The 14512-nt window shown below is 57.0% G+C and overlaps 1 protein-coding gene across 1 annotated transcript, besides 1 other annotated feature; it reads right to left on the reverse strand.

Moving 5' to 3' along the window:
• Positions 9583–10170: an enhancer, noted in NCBI's record as "H3K4me1 hESC enhancer chr17:80272095-80272682 (GRCh37/hg19 assembly coordinates)". NCBI's record gives its function as "activates a minimal SCP1, AML or CMV promoter by ChIP-STARR-seq in naive H9 embryonic stem cells {active_cell/tissue: H9 hESC(naive)}" and the evidence as "EXISTENCE:reporter gene assay evidence [ECO:0000049][PMID:30033119]".
• On the reverse strand, positions 10237–12972 carry CD7 (CD7 molecule). Its single transcript, NM_006137.7, has 4 exons — positions 12778–12972; positions 12031–12345; positions 11559–11773; positions 10237–10795 (listed from the first exon to the last, which is right to left on the reverse strand). Exons 1-4 carry the CDS (start codon positions 12857–12859, stop codon positions 10685–10687), a joined length of 723 nt encoding a protein of 240 aa, NP_006128.1. The 5' UTR covers positions 12860–12972; the 3' UTR covers positions 10237–10684.
• Between the last annotated feature and the right edge of the window lie 1540 nt (positions 12973–14512).

The following is a 14512-nucleotide window of genomic DNA, read 5'->3' on the forward strand; positions in this document are numbered from 1 at the left end:
GCCCCATCCATCCCCTCCCCTCCCCCTGCTCCCCACCCCTCCGCTCCTTGCCCCCTTATCTCCTTCCCTCTCCCTCCTCCCTTCCTCTCTTCCCCATGTCCAACGCCAGCTCCCGGGCCCCACTCCAGCTGCCCAGGCCACAGTGATTCCCTGTCCTGTCTTCTGAGGCCATTTTCCCAACAGCATTGGCTGAGGCAGGAGGATCACTTGAGCCCAGGAGGTGGAGGCTGCAGTGAGCTGTGATCGCGCCACTGCGCTCCAGCCCAGGCAACAGAAAGAGACCCTGTCTCAAAAAAAAAAAAAAAAGAAAAGAAAAAGAAAAAGAAAAAGTTGACTGAGTGTAAAAGTCACTTATTCTGAGGAACAAGAACCTACTCCTGGCTCCAGCTTTGCTCCTAACCTGGCATTTGGTTTTGAGGATGTTACTCAGGCCCGGAGCTCCCATTGCCACTCAACTGGGCATCCTCGTGCCTGGGGAGGCCCAGCACTGGCTCTAGGGAAAACGGGACATGTGGAAGGCTGGGGGCTGGAAATTCCTGCCATGGGGCTCGGGGGTGGTCTCAGTCCTGCCCCTGAGTTCCCGGTCGACCCTTGGAGAAGCTGCGGCAGATGGGATCTCTGACATGGGATCCGTGCTGGCGCCCTCCCTCCTGCAACACAGAACTAACAACCCCACCTTCAGGGCCTTTGATGCTGCGCACACACCACCGGCTCCGCGAGGCAGCCTGTCTGGCTGGACCTCGCTGAGGCCTGTTCACCCTGAAGCACCTGACCACAGACCTCAGCCCTCTTAAGGCCCTGGAGGGGGCCTGGCAATGTCCTCACCCGGCTGGGGTTGTATACAATTTGCTCAAGCTGTTTTGACAGCAGTTGGTCCAGACTGCCGTCTCCTCTGGCATCAGGTGCCCGGAGCAGTTCTGGGGCCCAGCTGAGGGACACTGAGCTGGGGTGTTTAGCTGGGCTTAGCTTAGTGGGGTATGTTGATGGCTGTGCAGTTGCTCCGAGACTGAGGATGTTGTTTCCAGCTGTCTGAGAGAGGGATGTTGCCCTGGATTGAATGGTGTCCCCTGAAATCCGTGTCCGCCTGGAACCTCTGAACAGGGCCTTATTTGGAGACAGGGTCTTGGCAGATGTCATCCAGTTGAGGTTACTGGATGGCCCTGAATCCCACGCGGCTGGTGTCCTGATGTGAAGAGAGAAACCACAGGCCTGGGAGAAGGCCACGTGACGATGGAGGCAGAGACTGGAGCGGCGCAGGCACAAGCCGGGAACGCCAGGGCCGCCGGCAGCCCCAGGAGCTGGGAGAGGCCTGGAGCCCGTTCTCCCTCAGAGCCTCTGGAGGGAAACAAATGATGTCACGACACTGTGGCCACCTGAAGAGGCGGCCAGAGAGCAGGCAGCAAGACGAAGCAGCAAAAATACAAGTGATCCACTCTGCTGAGTGACTGCTCCCCCCGACCCTCTGCGCTGCCCTGCATGCGGGCTTCCGTTACCACACCGTGTGTGAGCCCCCAGAGGCAGCTTCCTGCCTGTCTGTGTGGTCAAGTATGGTTATCTTTGGGTGTGGAGGAATTAAGAATTTTTATTCTCTTTTTCTTCTTTTTTTTTTTGAGACAGGGCCTTGCTCTGTCACCCAGGCTGGAGTGCAGTGGCACAATCTCGGCTCACTGCAACTTCAAACCCTGGGCTCAAGATATCCCCCTGCCTCAGCCTCCCGAGTAGCTGGGATTACAGGCACTCGTCACCACGCCCAGTTAATTTTTGTATTTTTTGTAGAGACTGGGTTTCGCCATGTTGCCCAGGCTGGTCTGGAGCTCCTGGGCTCAAGTGATCCACTCACCCCGGCCTCCCAAAGTGCTGAGATGACAGGCGTGAGCCACCGCGCCCGGCCTCGTTCTCATTTTCTTGCTTAGTTCCTGATGACAGTAAATGAGCATTTAAACAAGGTTTCATGTACACTGATGCTAGTGTCTGTTTTCTGTTTCACAAGCGTAGAGGTCCATGTTAACTAATTCATGACTTAGATCTGAAGGAGCACATTAAAAGCTTGGGCTTAAATGGGTGATGTATCTGGTTTTCTCTGTGGCTATATCATTCCTGGTTTGCATGTTTTGTCTTTATTTTTAGTTTCACCTGTGTTCATACTGGTTATATCTTATTCTATTGTTCCATTTTGTCAGAACATAAGATTGATGACTTTTGTTTTCTTCTGGTTCCTATCTGCCTCATAAGTTTTCTATCCTTTTATTTCCAACCTATTGGTGTCCTTTTGTTTAAAGTGTGTTTACAGGTGTGGTGGCTCATGTTTGTAATCATTGCACTTTGGGAGGCTGAGATGGGAGGGTCACTTGAGGCCAGGAGTTTGAGATCAGCCTGGGCAACACAGTGAGACCCGTCTCTACAAATAATTCAGAATAATTAACTGGGTGTGGTGGTGCACACCTGTAGTCTCAGCTACTCAAGAGGCTAAGGGAGGAGGATTGCGTAAGCCTGAGAGGTGGAGGCTGCACAGAGCTGTGATCGAGCCACTGCACATCAGCCTGGGTGACAGAGTGGGACCTTGTCTCAAAAAAAAAAGGAGAAAGAAAGAAAGAAAAGAAAAGAAAAGAAAAGAAGCCGGGCGCGGTGGCTCATGCCTGTAATCCCAGCACTTTGGGAGGCCGAGGCAGGTGGATCACGAGGTCAGGAGATAGAGACCATCCTGGCTAACACAGTGAAACCTCGTCTCTACTAAAAATACAAAAAATTAGCCGGGCGTGGTGGCGGGCGCCTGTAGTCCCAGCTACTCGGGAGGCTGAGGCAGGAGAATGGCGTGAGCCCGGGAGGCGGAGCTTGCAGCGAGCTGAGATTGCGCCACTGCACTCCAGCCTGGGTGACAGAGCGAGACTCCATCTCCAAAAAAAAAAAAGAAAGAAAGAAAAGAAAAAAATAGGTATCTTCTGTAGACAACATATTGTTGAATCTTTACATTTATTTATTTATTTATTTGTTTAGAGACAGGGTCTCACTCTGTCGCCCAGGCTGGAGTGCAATGGCACGATCTTGGTTCACTGTAACCTCCACCTCCTGGGTTCAAGTGATTCTCCCACCTCAGCCTCTCGAGTAGCTGGGATTACAGGCACCTGCCACCACGCTGGGCTAATTTTTGTATTTTTTCTTAGAGACGGGGTTTCACCATGTTGGTCAGGCTGGTCTCAAACTCCTGACCTCAAGTGATCTGCCTGCCTTGGCCTCCCAAAGCGCTGGGATTACAGGTGTGAGCCATGGCGCCCGGCCACCCAGCTTGATTTCTAAACCTCATCTTCATCTACATCTTGTTTCTGACAGGAGAAATGTCTCCACATGTTGCCACGTCCGTCAGTCTCCGCCTCCCTCTCTCCATGACATTGGTATTATCTAGAATTTTAGTTCTAGATTGTTATGTAGATTGAACATACATTGTAGATTCTGCGCTTTTTTTTTTTGTCATTGCTTTTTCTTTTTTGGACAAAATAAACTATCTGATTGCTTCTTATTTCTCTTGTAAGGATCTTCTTGTTTCGGTTTCTTCTTACTTGGATCCTGCCTCCAAGAGGGGTTTCAAAGTTAACTTCTCGGATGTGTCTTAAGACCTTATATGCAGCTAGGCGCGGTGGCTCACGCCTGTAATCCCAGCACTGTGGGAGGCAGACGGATCACTTGAGGTCAGGAGTTTGAGGCTATCCTGGCCAACATGGTGAAACCCTGTCTCTACTAAAAATAAAAATACAAAAATTAGCCTGGCGCGGTAGCACACGCCTGTCATCCCAGCTACCCAGGAGGCTGAGGCGGGAGAAAAACTTGACTCCAGGAGGTGGAGGTTGCAGTGAGCCAAGATTGCACCACTGCACTCCAGCCTGGGTGACAGAGTGAGACTCTGTCTCAAACAAAACAAAACAAAAACCCTTATATGCCTGAGAATATCTTTATTATATACTTAAATTTTATGATAATTTAGTTAGAGGCGACATTCCAGGTACAAACTTCTTTTCTTTCCACACTGAAGCATATTTTTTCCATCGTCTCCTTGAACCCAGAGTTGTCTTTGAGAATTCTGAGATCATCTGAGTTTGAGGATTCTCTGTCTGGTTTTGACGTTCTAGTCCTTTGAATGTGTCCAGCAGGTTTTCCTTCTCTCTCCTGTGTGGCCGTCGATGCACTGCTGTGATATGAGCGCTCTCTCTTCTCTGCTTCTGGGAGATTTATCGTCGTTCTCCCTCTCTTTCTCTCCCTCTCTTTCTCATTTATTGGATATGTTTTCTCTTCCGTTATCTGTGTCTCTTAGCTTTTTCTTTTTTTCTCTCTCTATTCTTTCCTTCTGGGGGCTTCCTCAGCTGGATCTTGCCTCCCTAACGCGGCTTTCCTGTTGCTCATTCCATCCGTGGTTTCCCTGGGTCAGGGATTCTGTCTTTCGTCCCTGGCGTGCCGCGCCGCGTGGGTGTTGACGGCTTTTTCTTCCTGCTCCCGTCCTTTGAGGGTGTGCCTTTTGCTGGCCGTGACGGGTGCAGCTCTGCCCTGGCTCCCTCAGGTGCGTGTGGCCCGTGCGGCCGTCTGCTTCCCGGACAGAGCGCCCGCCTCAGGATGCCAGCTCTCAGGCCATGAGCCTCAAGGGCACCCAGATCTGGTCCAGGCTTTGGGGCTGGGCCAAGCCTGGAGTGGGAGGGGCGAGCCCCTGGGTGGCACAGGCCCTGCCCCTCAGAGCCCTCTGCCCGCCTTGACAACCCCCTCCCTGTCAGCCGCTGTTCCTTGGCCAACACCTCGTGTTGGGAGCTTAGTTTTTTTTTTTTCTTTGAGATGGAGTCTTGCTCTGTCACCCAGGCTGGAGTGCAGTGGCACAATCTCGGCTTACTGCAACCTCCACCTCCCGGGTTCAAGTGGTCCTCCTGCCTCAGCCTCCCGAGTAGCTGGGATTACAGGCATGAGCCACCACGCCCAGCTAATTTTTTGTATTTTTAGTAGAGACAGGGTTTCACCATGTCAGCCAGGATGGTCTCGATCTCCTGGCCTCGTGATCTGCCCGCCTTGGCCTCCCGAAGTGCTGGGATTACAGGCGTGAGCCACTGCGCCCGGCCAGGAGCTTAGCTTTAAGAGCTTGAAGTAGGGGCTCAATGGCCACCCTCGGGCTTTGGGGTGAGGGGTGAATGCTCCACACTGGGGGTTTCCACCACTCCCCAAAGCACGGGGCTGCCCTGGGCTGGTGCTTACTCTGTTTCTCGAAGTCTGAAAGGTTTCCCCTCATGGTCAAGGGCTTTACTTTCTGTGTCCTGTGGTGTCCAGCCAAGCCTGTACAGTTGGGGAGCGTTTGCTCTGACAAGTATTGTCTTGTCCCCATTTTACGAATAAGAAAACCAAGCCCGGAGAGGCTCAGTCCTGGAAATAGACGGTGGGGGAAACAGGACTCAGGCAGAGTGCATGCTCTTTGTCACGAGAATTCGACCGGTGTGCACATTGACCCGACACGCCCAGGACACAGCATGCTCAGTCAGGGGCCCTCTACACCTGAGCCTGGGTGGGGGTGGGGACACACTATGAAGGACCCTCCCTGTCCTCCAGGTCCTTTCAGTCTGGCTGTGGACAGAGAAGTGGAGAGACGATTATGGGCATTGAGATGAGCGGTGGAGGCTGGATGGAATCAGGAGGAGGGGAGGAGAATCTTGGGGAGCACGGGCCTGAGCACAAAGGGGATTAAGGAAGAGGAGGACCTCGGGGAGCACGGTTCTGAGCATGGAGGAGATGAGGAGGGGAGGAGGACCTTGCGGAGCACGGCCCCAAGCATGAAGGGGATTAAGGGAGAGGAAGATCTCAGGGAGCACAGCCCTGAGCACGGAGAGGATTAAGGGAGAGGAGAAGGACCTTGGGGAGCACAGCCTGTCCCTGCATGGCCTCTGGTCCCTGGGGTGGGGTCAGGCTGCCGGGGATGCCTCAGATGACAGGAGCTCTGCCGATGGGCTCGTGGTGCTCTCTGCTTATCAGGGACAAGAGGACAGGGGACGTGGAGACAGCACTCTGGTGGGAGCTGAGGGTCAGGGTGTGGGCAGGTTGGCCAGCACGGCCTGGAAAGCACAGTCCTGCCGTTGAGGAGAGCACAAACCCACCTCCCTCATTTACAGATGGCAAAGGAAGGCCCAGAAGGGCAGTGACTTGTCCAAGGCCACCGGGCTGTCTCTCGTATTGGCGGAGGTCCCCTGTGTGGAGCGCCTGGGTTCTTGGAACCTCGAGCCCCAGCCCCTTATCCCTGCGTCCCCTTAGCTTTTCCCTGGTCACTGTCTGGGTCCCACCCGTCAGTGCTGGACGCACGGGAACCAGCATGAGCCGGGCGGGCACGCAGCTGCTGGTGAACAGGTCCCAGGGGCTCCCCACATGCGGGTACCTTAGTGACTTATCCATGTTTACAGAAGAGTTTGGTGGTCTCCTGGTGCCGAGGGCCCGAGCATCAGGTTCAGCGAGAGCAGCAGCGGCCGTGGACACCGCAGAGGCCACCATGAGGGCCTGGGGACAGTGTGACACTGCTGACTGCAGCCCTGGGAACCCGTGAGAACTGGGGGAGCGTGTCCTGGAATGCCAAGCCCGTCGTGGCTGGCGACTCCCTGCCCCGGCTAACACGCCATTGTCAAATACAAGTCCTGAGAAAGTACGAGAAAGAAGGAACTAAACCCACAGCTCATCACCCAGAGAGAACCGTTGTTAGCACCTCGTAAGTCTATTCCATTATTTCAGTCATGCAGAAATAAACATACATACAGGTGTAGCCATGCTCAGCATAAAGATGTTTTGGTCAGCCGGGAGCAGTGGCTCACGCCTGGGGTCCCAGCACTTTGGGAGGCCGAGGCGGGTGGATCACAAGGTCAGCAGATCGAGACCATCCCAGCTAACACGGTGAAACCCCGTCTCTACTAAAAATACAAAAAAAAAAAAAAAGACGTTTTGGTCAACGACGGGCGGCACATGCCACGATGGTCCCATACGATGACAGCAGCTCCACCAGGAAGCCTGGGTGTGCCCTGGGCTCTAAGTCTAGGTCACGCAAGCACACTCGGTGACAGTCACACAATGATGACACTGCCTAGCGATGCGTTTCTCAGAATGCATCCCTGTAAGCAACACGTCCACCATCTATATTGTAACAAATGTGCCTCATACGTCTATTCTGCAGCCGTCTGTGTGGCTTCACGGGGTCGTGTGAAGGTCCTAGGGTGAAGTCACAGATTTTTCCATGGTGCCCTTTTATTTTTTAAGTATTATTATTATTATTATTTTGATATGTAGTCTCGCCTTGTCGCCCAGGTTGGAGTGCAGTGGCGTGATCTCAGCTCACTACAACCTCCGCCTCCCGGATTCAAGCAATTCTCCTGCCTCAGCCACCTGAGTAACTGGGATTACAGGCACCCGCCACCATGCCTGGCTAGTGTTTGTATTTTTACTGGAGACGGGGTTTCACCATGATGCCAGGCTGGTCTCGAACTCCTGACCTTAAGTGGTTCACCCGCCTCAGCCTCCCAAAGTGCTGGGATGACAGGCGTGAGCCACCGCGCCCGGCCCATGGTGCCCTTTTAACACACGCTGCATGTGCCATAATCACTGTAACAAAATTATCCTGCTTGGAGACTTACATCCTTCCTTAGTTGTTATATATATTTTTAAGATAGGGTCTCAGCTGGGTACGGTGGCTCACATCTGTAATCCCAGCAGCACTTTGGGAGGCCAAGGCGGGCAGATTGCTTGAGCCCAGGAGTTTGAGACCAGCCTGAGCAACATGGCAAAACCCTGTCTCTATTTAAAAATTAAAATAAATATTAAAACATAAAAAATAAAAATACTCACGAGGTCAGGAGATCGAGACCATCCTGGTCAACATGGTGAAACCCCGTCTCTACTAAACATACAAAAAATTAGCCGGGCGTGGTGGCGGGCGCCTGTAGTCCCAGCTACCCAGGAGGCTGGGGCAGGATAATCGCTTGAACCAGGGAGTGGGAGGTTGCAGCGAGCTGAGATCGCACCACTGCACTCCAGCCTGGTGACTCCACCTCAAAAAAAAAAATATATATATATATATATATAAAAGATAAAGATAAAGATGGGGTCTTGCTCTGCCACCCAGGCTGGAGTGCAGTGACACAGTCACAGCTCACTGCAGCCTCAAACTCCTGGGCTCAAGTGATCCTCACACCTTGGCCTCCCAAGTAGCTGGACCACAGGTGCACACCACGATACCCGGCTTCAGTTGTTAATTTTTTAATTGAAAGTTACATTGCAATGAATATCACTATACCTCTAAACTTGTTTCTGTGCCTAAAGATAATTTCCCAAAGAAACTTTTATAGAAGTGGAATTTCCAGGTAAAAGGGGCATTATATTTTATTGTTTTTGTTTTTGTTTTTGTTTTGAGACGGAGTCTCACTCTGTCTCCAGGCTGGTGTGTAGTGGCGCGATCTCGGCTCACTGCAACCTCCGCCTCCTGGGTTCAAGCACTTCTCCTGCCTCAGCCTCCCGAGTAGCTGGGACTACAGGCACCCGCCACCACAGCCGGCTAATTTTTTTTTTTTTTTGTATTTTAGTAGAGACGGGGTTTCACCATGTTGCCCAGGCTGGTCTCCAACTCCTGAGCTCAGGCAATCCACCCGCCTCGGCCTCCCAAAGTGCTAGGATTAGAGGTGTGAGCCACCTCACCCGGTCGCATTATATTTTAATGATATTTACATCTTTGCAAACCCAGTTGGCGAAAGGTTACCTCATTTCAACTGGTGTTGCGTCGACACCCAGCAGTGGGAATGGTTCCTGTGTCTATCGCTCATTTTTGGAATTTGCGTATTTTTAGTTGGTGTTTTCTTCCCATGGATTGATACGGCTGTGTATGAATTAAACATACTAACCTTTGATTTGTAATTTACTTGTCAAATATTTCACCCTGATTTGTAGACGTTTGTTGTTTATTTTTGTTTGTAGTGTTTTTATAGAGTTTAATAGTTCCCACTGTGCAGTTGATTGTATTAGTTTTTTGTCTCTGTGACCTCGATGGATGATTTGATGGTGACTGCGGTCAGGGGCTCCGGAGCCTCTGGGTCTGCAGCTGTCTTCTCAGCCAGGCACTCTCTCGTACTGACGGGGGTCCTCCGTGTGCAGGGCCGAGGAAACCACCGTGGCCAAAGTGGACCACCAGCTGAGCGTGGCTGGGATGCTAGCAGCCCCCAACCCTGCCGGCCTGGGATGACGGCGGCCTGGGATGACGGCAGCCTGGGGAGAGAGGGCACTCTGATTTCTCCTCCTGACGGTGGGCCTGGATGGGCTGGAGAGGACTTGGGCCTCGGCCCAGAAGCTACTCCAGGTGTCACAGAGACCACATTCAAGGTTGGAGGCCGCCCCAGGCTGCCCATGTGAAGCTAGGGGTGCTGACCAGAGGCCGGCTCCTGGACGTGAGTCCTGGACACCAGGACAGTGGCCTAGAGCCTGCACAGAGGCAGCTGGATGAGGCTGTGGGGCGCGTCCTGCACAAGGAGGACCCCGGGTTAACGCGCCAGTGCGGCAGGAGGAAGGGCTTGAGGTGTGGGTGTGGGGTGAGTGAGGGGCAGGTGTGAGGGGTGGGTGAGGAGCCTGCACATAAGGCCCCGCCTTTGCTCCCCACCTGTGTCGCAGGAGGCAATGAAGTGCAGTGTGTGGCGCCCTAGCGGCTCCCCAGGCAGTGGCTGAGGGCCAGTGCCTCTGTTTCCCCCGGGAATGGGCGAATGGTGGCTCCTGTCCCCACGTGCAGCATGGGAGCTGCGCTGGCTGGGGAAGGTCTGGAGAGTCCAGCTGGGTCTCCCCCGGGGCCTCTGAGAACGAGGAGGAGGCACCTTGTAAGACGGGGCAGGGAGGGGAAGCGCTCAGGCTGCTGAGTGAGGCAGCCTTGTGCTCAGCTTGCTGGTCCCGGTGTGCCCTGGGGTCGGCCTCGGAGGCCTCGGGAGGCGGTGTCGCTGGAGTGGGGGTCGGGGGCATGGGGGGCCATCCTGAGGCTCCTGAAGGGCCCCTGGGTCTGGCCTCCACCTGGACAGGTGGATGTGCTTCTTCTCAAGGGTGGGAGGCCCCCAGGGCTCCTTTCAGGGCTGGGGTGAGGAAGTGCTCCCTTCCCCACCTTCAAGGCCACAGCTGCAGAGCCCCAGGCGGAGGCTTGGGGAGGGTCCGAAGTGTCAGCCATCTCCCTCCCTGGCTCCTGCTGGCTGAGGAATAAATGCAGAAGTCAGAAAAGGAAGCACAGAAGCCTTTATTTCTGGTACGGCTGGGTGGGGGACTGGTCTCCTCCCGTCCTCTGCCGGGCTGCCTGGGGGTTGGGGGCCTGCTGGTGGGTGGGCCGGCACTGACAGGAGAGGGCCGCGTGCCCAGGCCCATCCCACAGAAAAGCCCTCCTTGGCCATGGTCGGGAGATGCAGCCAAAGGACAGTCAGGCTTCCTCCCGGTGGCGGCGTGGGCTGGGCAGGGAAGGCTTCCCGGAGGAGGCATCATTGTCCACTGAGAAGCACCGTGGGGCCTGGCCACTGCCTGTGTGTCTGCTTGGAGCTGGGCACGGCTGGGCCCTTCAAACTCTGCTGCAGCCGTGGGAGGACAGCAGGGTGAGGGGTGTGGCAGGGTGGGGGGCATGGTGGGGCAGGGAAGGTGCTGGGGGGACCACAGGCGGGACGTGCAGGGGCCCACTGGGTCACTGGTACTGGTTGGGGGAGGACAGCGTGTTGCAGCGGCTGTGCGACATGTCCTCGTACACCACACATGCCGCCGAATTCTTATCCCGCCACGAGCACAGTTTCTTTATCTGAAAGACAGAACCGCCGTCTCCAACCAGTGGCCAGCGTGGTGTCCTGGACCCCACCCCACTCCGGTCAGCTTTCTAATTTTAACACGAGACCCCCACGGGGCTCCTCTGGGCTGGCCCCCAGGTCTCCTGAGCCCCAGGGCTTCCCAGCAGAGCCTTCCCCAGGCAGGGCTGGGTCGGACCCTGGGGTGCCTCTGAAGAAGGAGAGTGGAAGTGGCTTGGACCCCCCCACCAAGCCCAAGCCAAGCGGGACCCCCACTCCAGCCCCAGACAAACAGCAGGGACCGAGGGGAGTGGCCACGCCTAGACTCTGTGTCTGTCTGAGGCCCCCTCCCCTTCCCACGGCCACACAGCACGCCGGCACACTCCAACATGCACGCACAGTCCTCAGAGATCCCCACACACAGGCTCACACCTGCACACGTGCACACGCGGGCCCAGCGCCTGGGCGCTCCCTCCTCTGCCCGCACACTCCAACCTGCACGCACAGACCTCAGAGATCCCCCCTCAGACACTCACACCTGCACACGCGCACACGCGCACACGCGGGCCCAGCGCCTGGGCTGCTCCCTCCCCCTCAGGTCGCTTTGGTGCTGGTCCCCCTCCCTCCCCGCCGAGGCCACTTCCACCCTGAGAGTTCCAGAGCCTGCAGAGGAGGCGGCGGGTACCAGGGTTTTCCTCTGGGGCTTTGGCGCCCCCCACGCTGCTCTCAGGAGAGGGAACAATCTTTGGGGTGCAGGTGGCAGCTGGGGCTCACACTGACCTGTGTCCTCGCCAGCACACACGCCACCCCCAGGCCCAGCCCGAGGAGGAAGGAGATCACCGCCAGGGCCGCAGGGAGGGCAGAGGCTGCTGGCGGGTCAGGGAGGGCAGAGGCTGTCTGCGGGTCAGGGAGGGCGGAGCCTGTCGGTGGGGCAGGGAGGGCAGAGGCCCTTGGTGGGGCGTCCGAGCATCTGTGCCATCCTTGGGACTGTTCCTCTGAGAAGGAAAAAAGAAGGAAGGGATTCTCCCGGTGGAGAACCTGTTAGAGCCCCCGGGGTTTGGGATTCGGGGCAGGGAAAGGCTGTGGAGGGGAGGAGGGGCAGCTATCTAGGAGGCTGCTGGGGGCAGTGGGCTGGGAGCTGGAACAGTTCAGGCACATGTAGGAGGGAGGGTCCCACGACAAGGGCTGGGGGAGCAGAGCCTGGCCAGCAGCTGGGGTTGGGAGGGGGGTCTGGGATGGGCACATTCCCTACCTGTCACCAGGACCAGGGTGCCGGAGCCGTAGACATTGACCTCCGTGATGGCCTGGCAGGTGTAGGTGCCAGTGTCCGACAGCTGCAGGCGGTGCATGGTGATAGTCAGGTTGTCCTGGGACCCTGAGAAGTCGATGCGGCCCCGGAACCGTCTGTCCGTAGTGGGCACCACCCCGTCCTCGTAGTAAATGATGTCTTGGGGCTGTGGCCCGAGCTGCCTCAGGTAGATCCCACGCAGGCCCCCGCTGGTGGAGCAGGTGATGTTGACGGAGGCTCCCACGGGGACAGTCGTGCAGTGGGGAGACTGCTGCACCTCTGGGGAGGACCTGGGCTGTCACCATCAGTCTGGCCAGAAGGACAGAGAATGTCCTCCCTGCAGGGGACAGTGGTGGGGATGGTGGGGCCCTGAGACAGCCCAGGGCTGACATGTCGCCAAAGACACGGTGCCTTACGGGGCATGGAGCAGATCTGGGCACCGGCTGTGGTGTTGGGGGAGGTGCTGTCCTCGTGTTCCGAGACTGTGGGCTTCTTCCTCCCAAAGCAGCGGCCCTGCCTGGACAGCCCCGGCCACTCCCCACCGGGGTCCACCCTTTTTCCTTCTCTTAAATGAGTCCTCAGACACTGGAGGCCGCTCAGCACCCCACCCGCTTCCTGGGGGCTGTGCTGTGGCTCAGACTGGGGGCTCTGAGCTCATGGGGCAGGGAGAGCTCTGGAGCTGTGGCCATGGAGAGCCTGGGAAGCTCTTACCTTGGGCAGCCAGGGCCCCAGGCAGGCCGCGAGCCAGCGCCAGAAGCAGGGGCAGCAGCAGGAGCCTCGGAGGCCCGGCCATGTTCCCCACACCCAGCTCTCCCAGCCGGGCGAGTGCAGCTGAGCCTCTCTGGGTCTACAGGACCCCACAGAGAGCAGCACACAGGAGACCGCAGGCGCTCAGAGCTCAGAGAGGGCTTCCTGGAGGCGGTGCCTCAGACCAGGGTGGTGCTGTGGGCCCGGTGGGAGGGGCGGTCTCACCTACCCCTCCCCAGCACTGCCTCCCTGAGAGCTGCCCTGAGAGCAGGGCGTCCCTGTATCCCCCACTGCCCCTGCATCTCCACAGGGAGGAGGTCAAGGCCTGGGGCGGGGCAGACCAGAGGACAGAGAAGGGACTCCCTGGCTGGGGACGGGTGGCAGGGTCTGGAAGTGAGCGGCAGAGCTGGCCCCCAGCCTGCCTGGTCCTCTGGGGTACTTTCTGCTGGGACCCAATTTATGCCCAGAAATCTGGAGCCACCCATGACCCATGAGTCACCCACACAGTGCAGAGGAGCACAGGGCAGGCCAGAATTGGCACCCCCTGGTTTGGCCGTGGGGAAGGAGCCTGGGCCTGCACCCGCACCCAACGCTGCAGCCGACCAGCTGACCGTGGCTCTGCGTTCCATGTCCTGGAGGCGGGAGGTCTGAGGTATGGTCCAGGCCTGAGGTTTCCCGACCTCCCTGGGAGGAGTGCGTCAGGCCGCAGTGCCCAGCTTCAGGGGCTGAGGGAGACCTGTGCCTGGGCTCTGACCCCAGGGTGACTGAGTCCTCTGGGAGGGGGCACTTCTCTGTCCTGAGGGCCTCCCGCCACAATGACGAAGCGTTGACGTTGGTGCCCAAAGCCAGTAGGTGCAGCACATGAGCAGGAGTGTGTGGACACGTGTGTGTGCAGAGACGGGTGCGTATGGACATGTGTGTGCAGAGACGGGTGCGTGTGGACACGTGTGTGTGCAGAGACGGGTGCGTGTGGACACGTGTGTGTGCAGAGACGGATGCGTGTGGACACGTGCGTGTGCAGAGGCGGGTGCGTGTGGACGTGTGTGTGCAGAGACGTGTGCGTGTGGACGTGCGTGTACAGAGACGGCTGTGTGTGGACACTTGTGTGTGCAGAGACGGGTGCGTGTGACTCCATGCGTGTGTGCAGAGACGGGTGCGTGTGGACACGTGTGTGCAGAGACGGGTGTGTGTGGACACGCATGTGCAGAGATGGGTGCGTGTGGACACGTGCGTGTGCAGAGACGTGTGCGTGTGGATGTGCGTGTGCAGAGACGGGTGTGTGTGGACACGTGTGTGCAGAGACGGGTGCACTTGACTCCATGCGTGTGTGCAGAGACGGGTGCGTGTGGACACGCGTGTGTGCAGAGACGGGTGTGTGTGGACACGCATGTGCAGAGACGGGTGCGTGTGAACACGTGTGTGTGCAGATGGGTGCGCATGACTCCACGCGTGTGTGCAGAGACGGATGTGTGTGGACACGCGTGTGTGCAGAGACGGGTGTGTGTGGACACGCATGTGCAGAGACGGGTGTGTGTGGACACTTTGTGCAGAGACGGGTGCGCGTGACTCCATGCGTGTGTGCAGAGACGGGTGCGTGTGGACACGCGGGTGTGCAGAGACGGGTGCGTGTGGACACGTGCGTGTGTAGAGACGTGTGCGTGTGGACGTGCGTGTGCAGAGACGGGTGTGTGGACACTTG

The sequence above is a fragment of the Homo sapiens genome, chromosome 17 (genome assembly GCF_000001405.40).
Source record: "Homo sapiens chromosome 17, GRCh38.p14 Primary Assembly".
Lineage (NCBI taxonomy): Eukaryota > Metazoa > Chordata > Mammalia > Primates > Hominidae > Homo > Homo sapiens.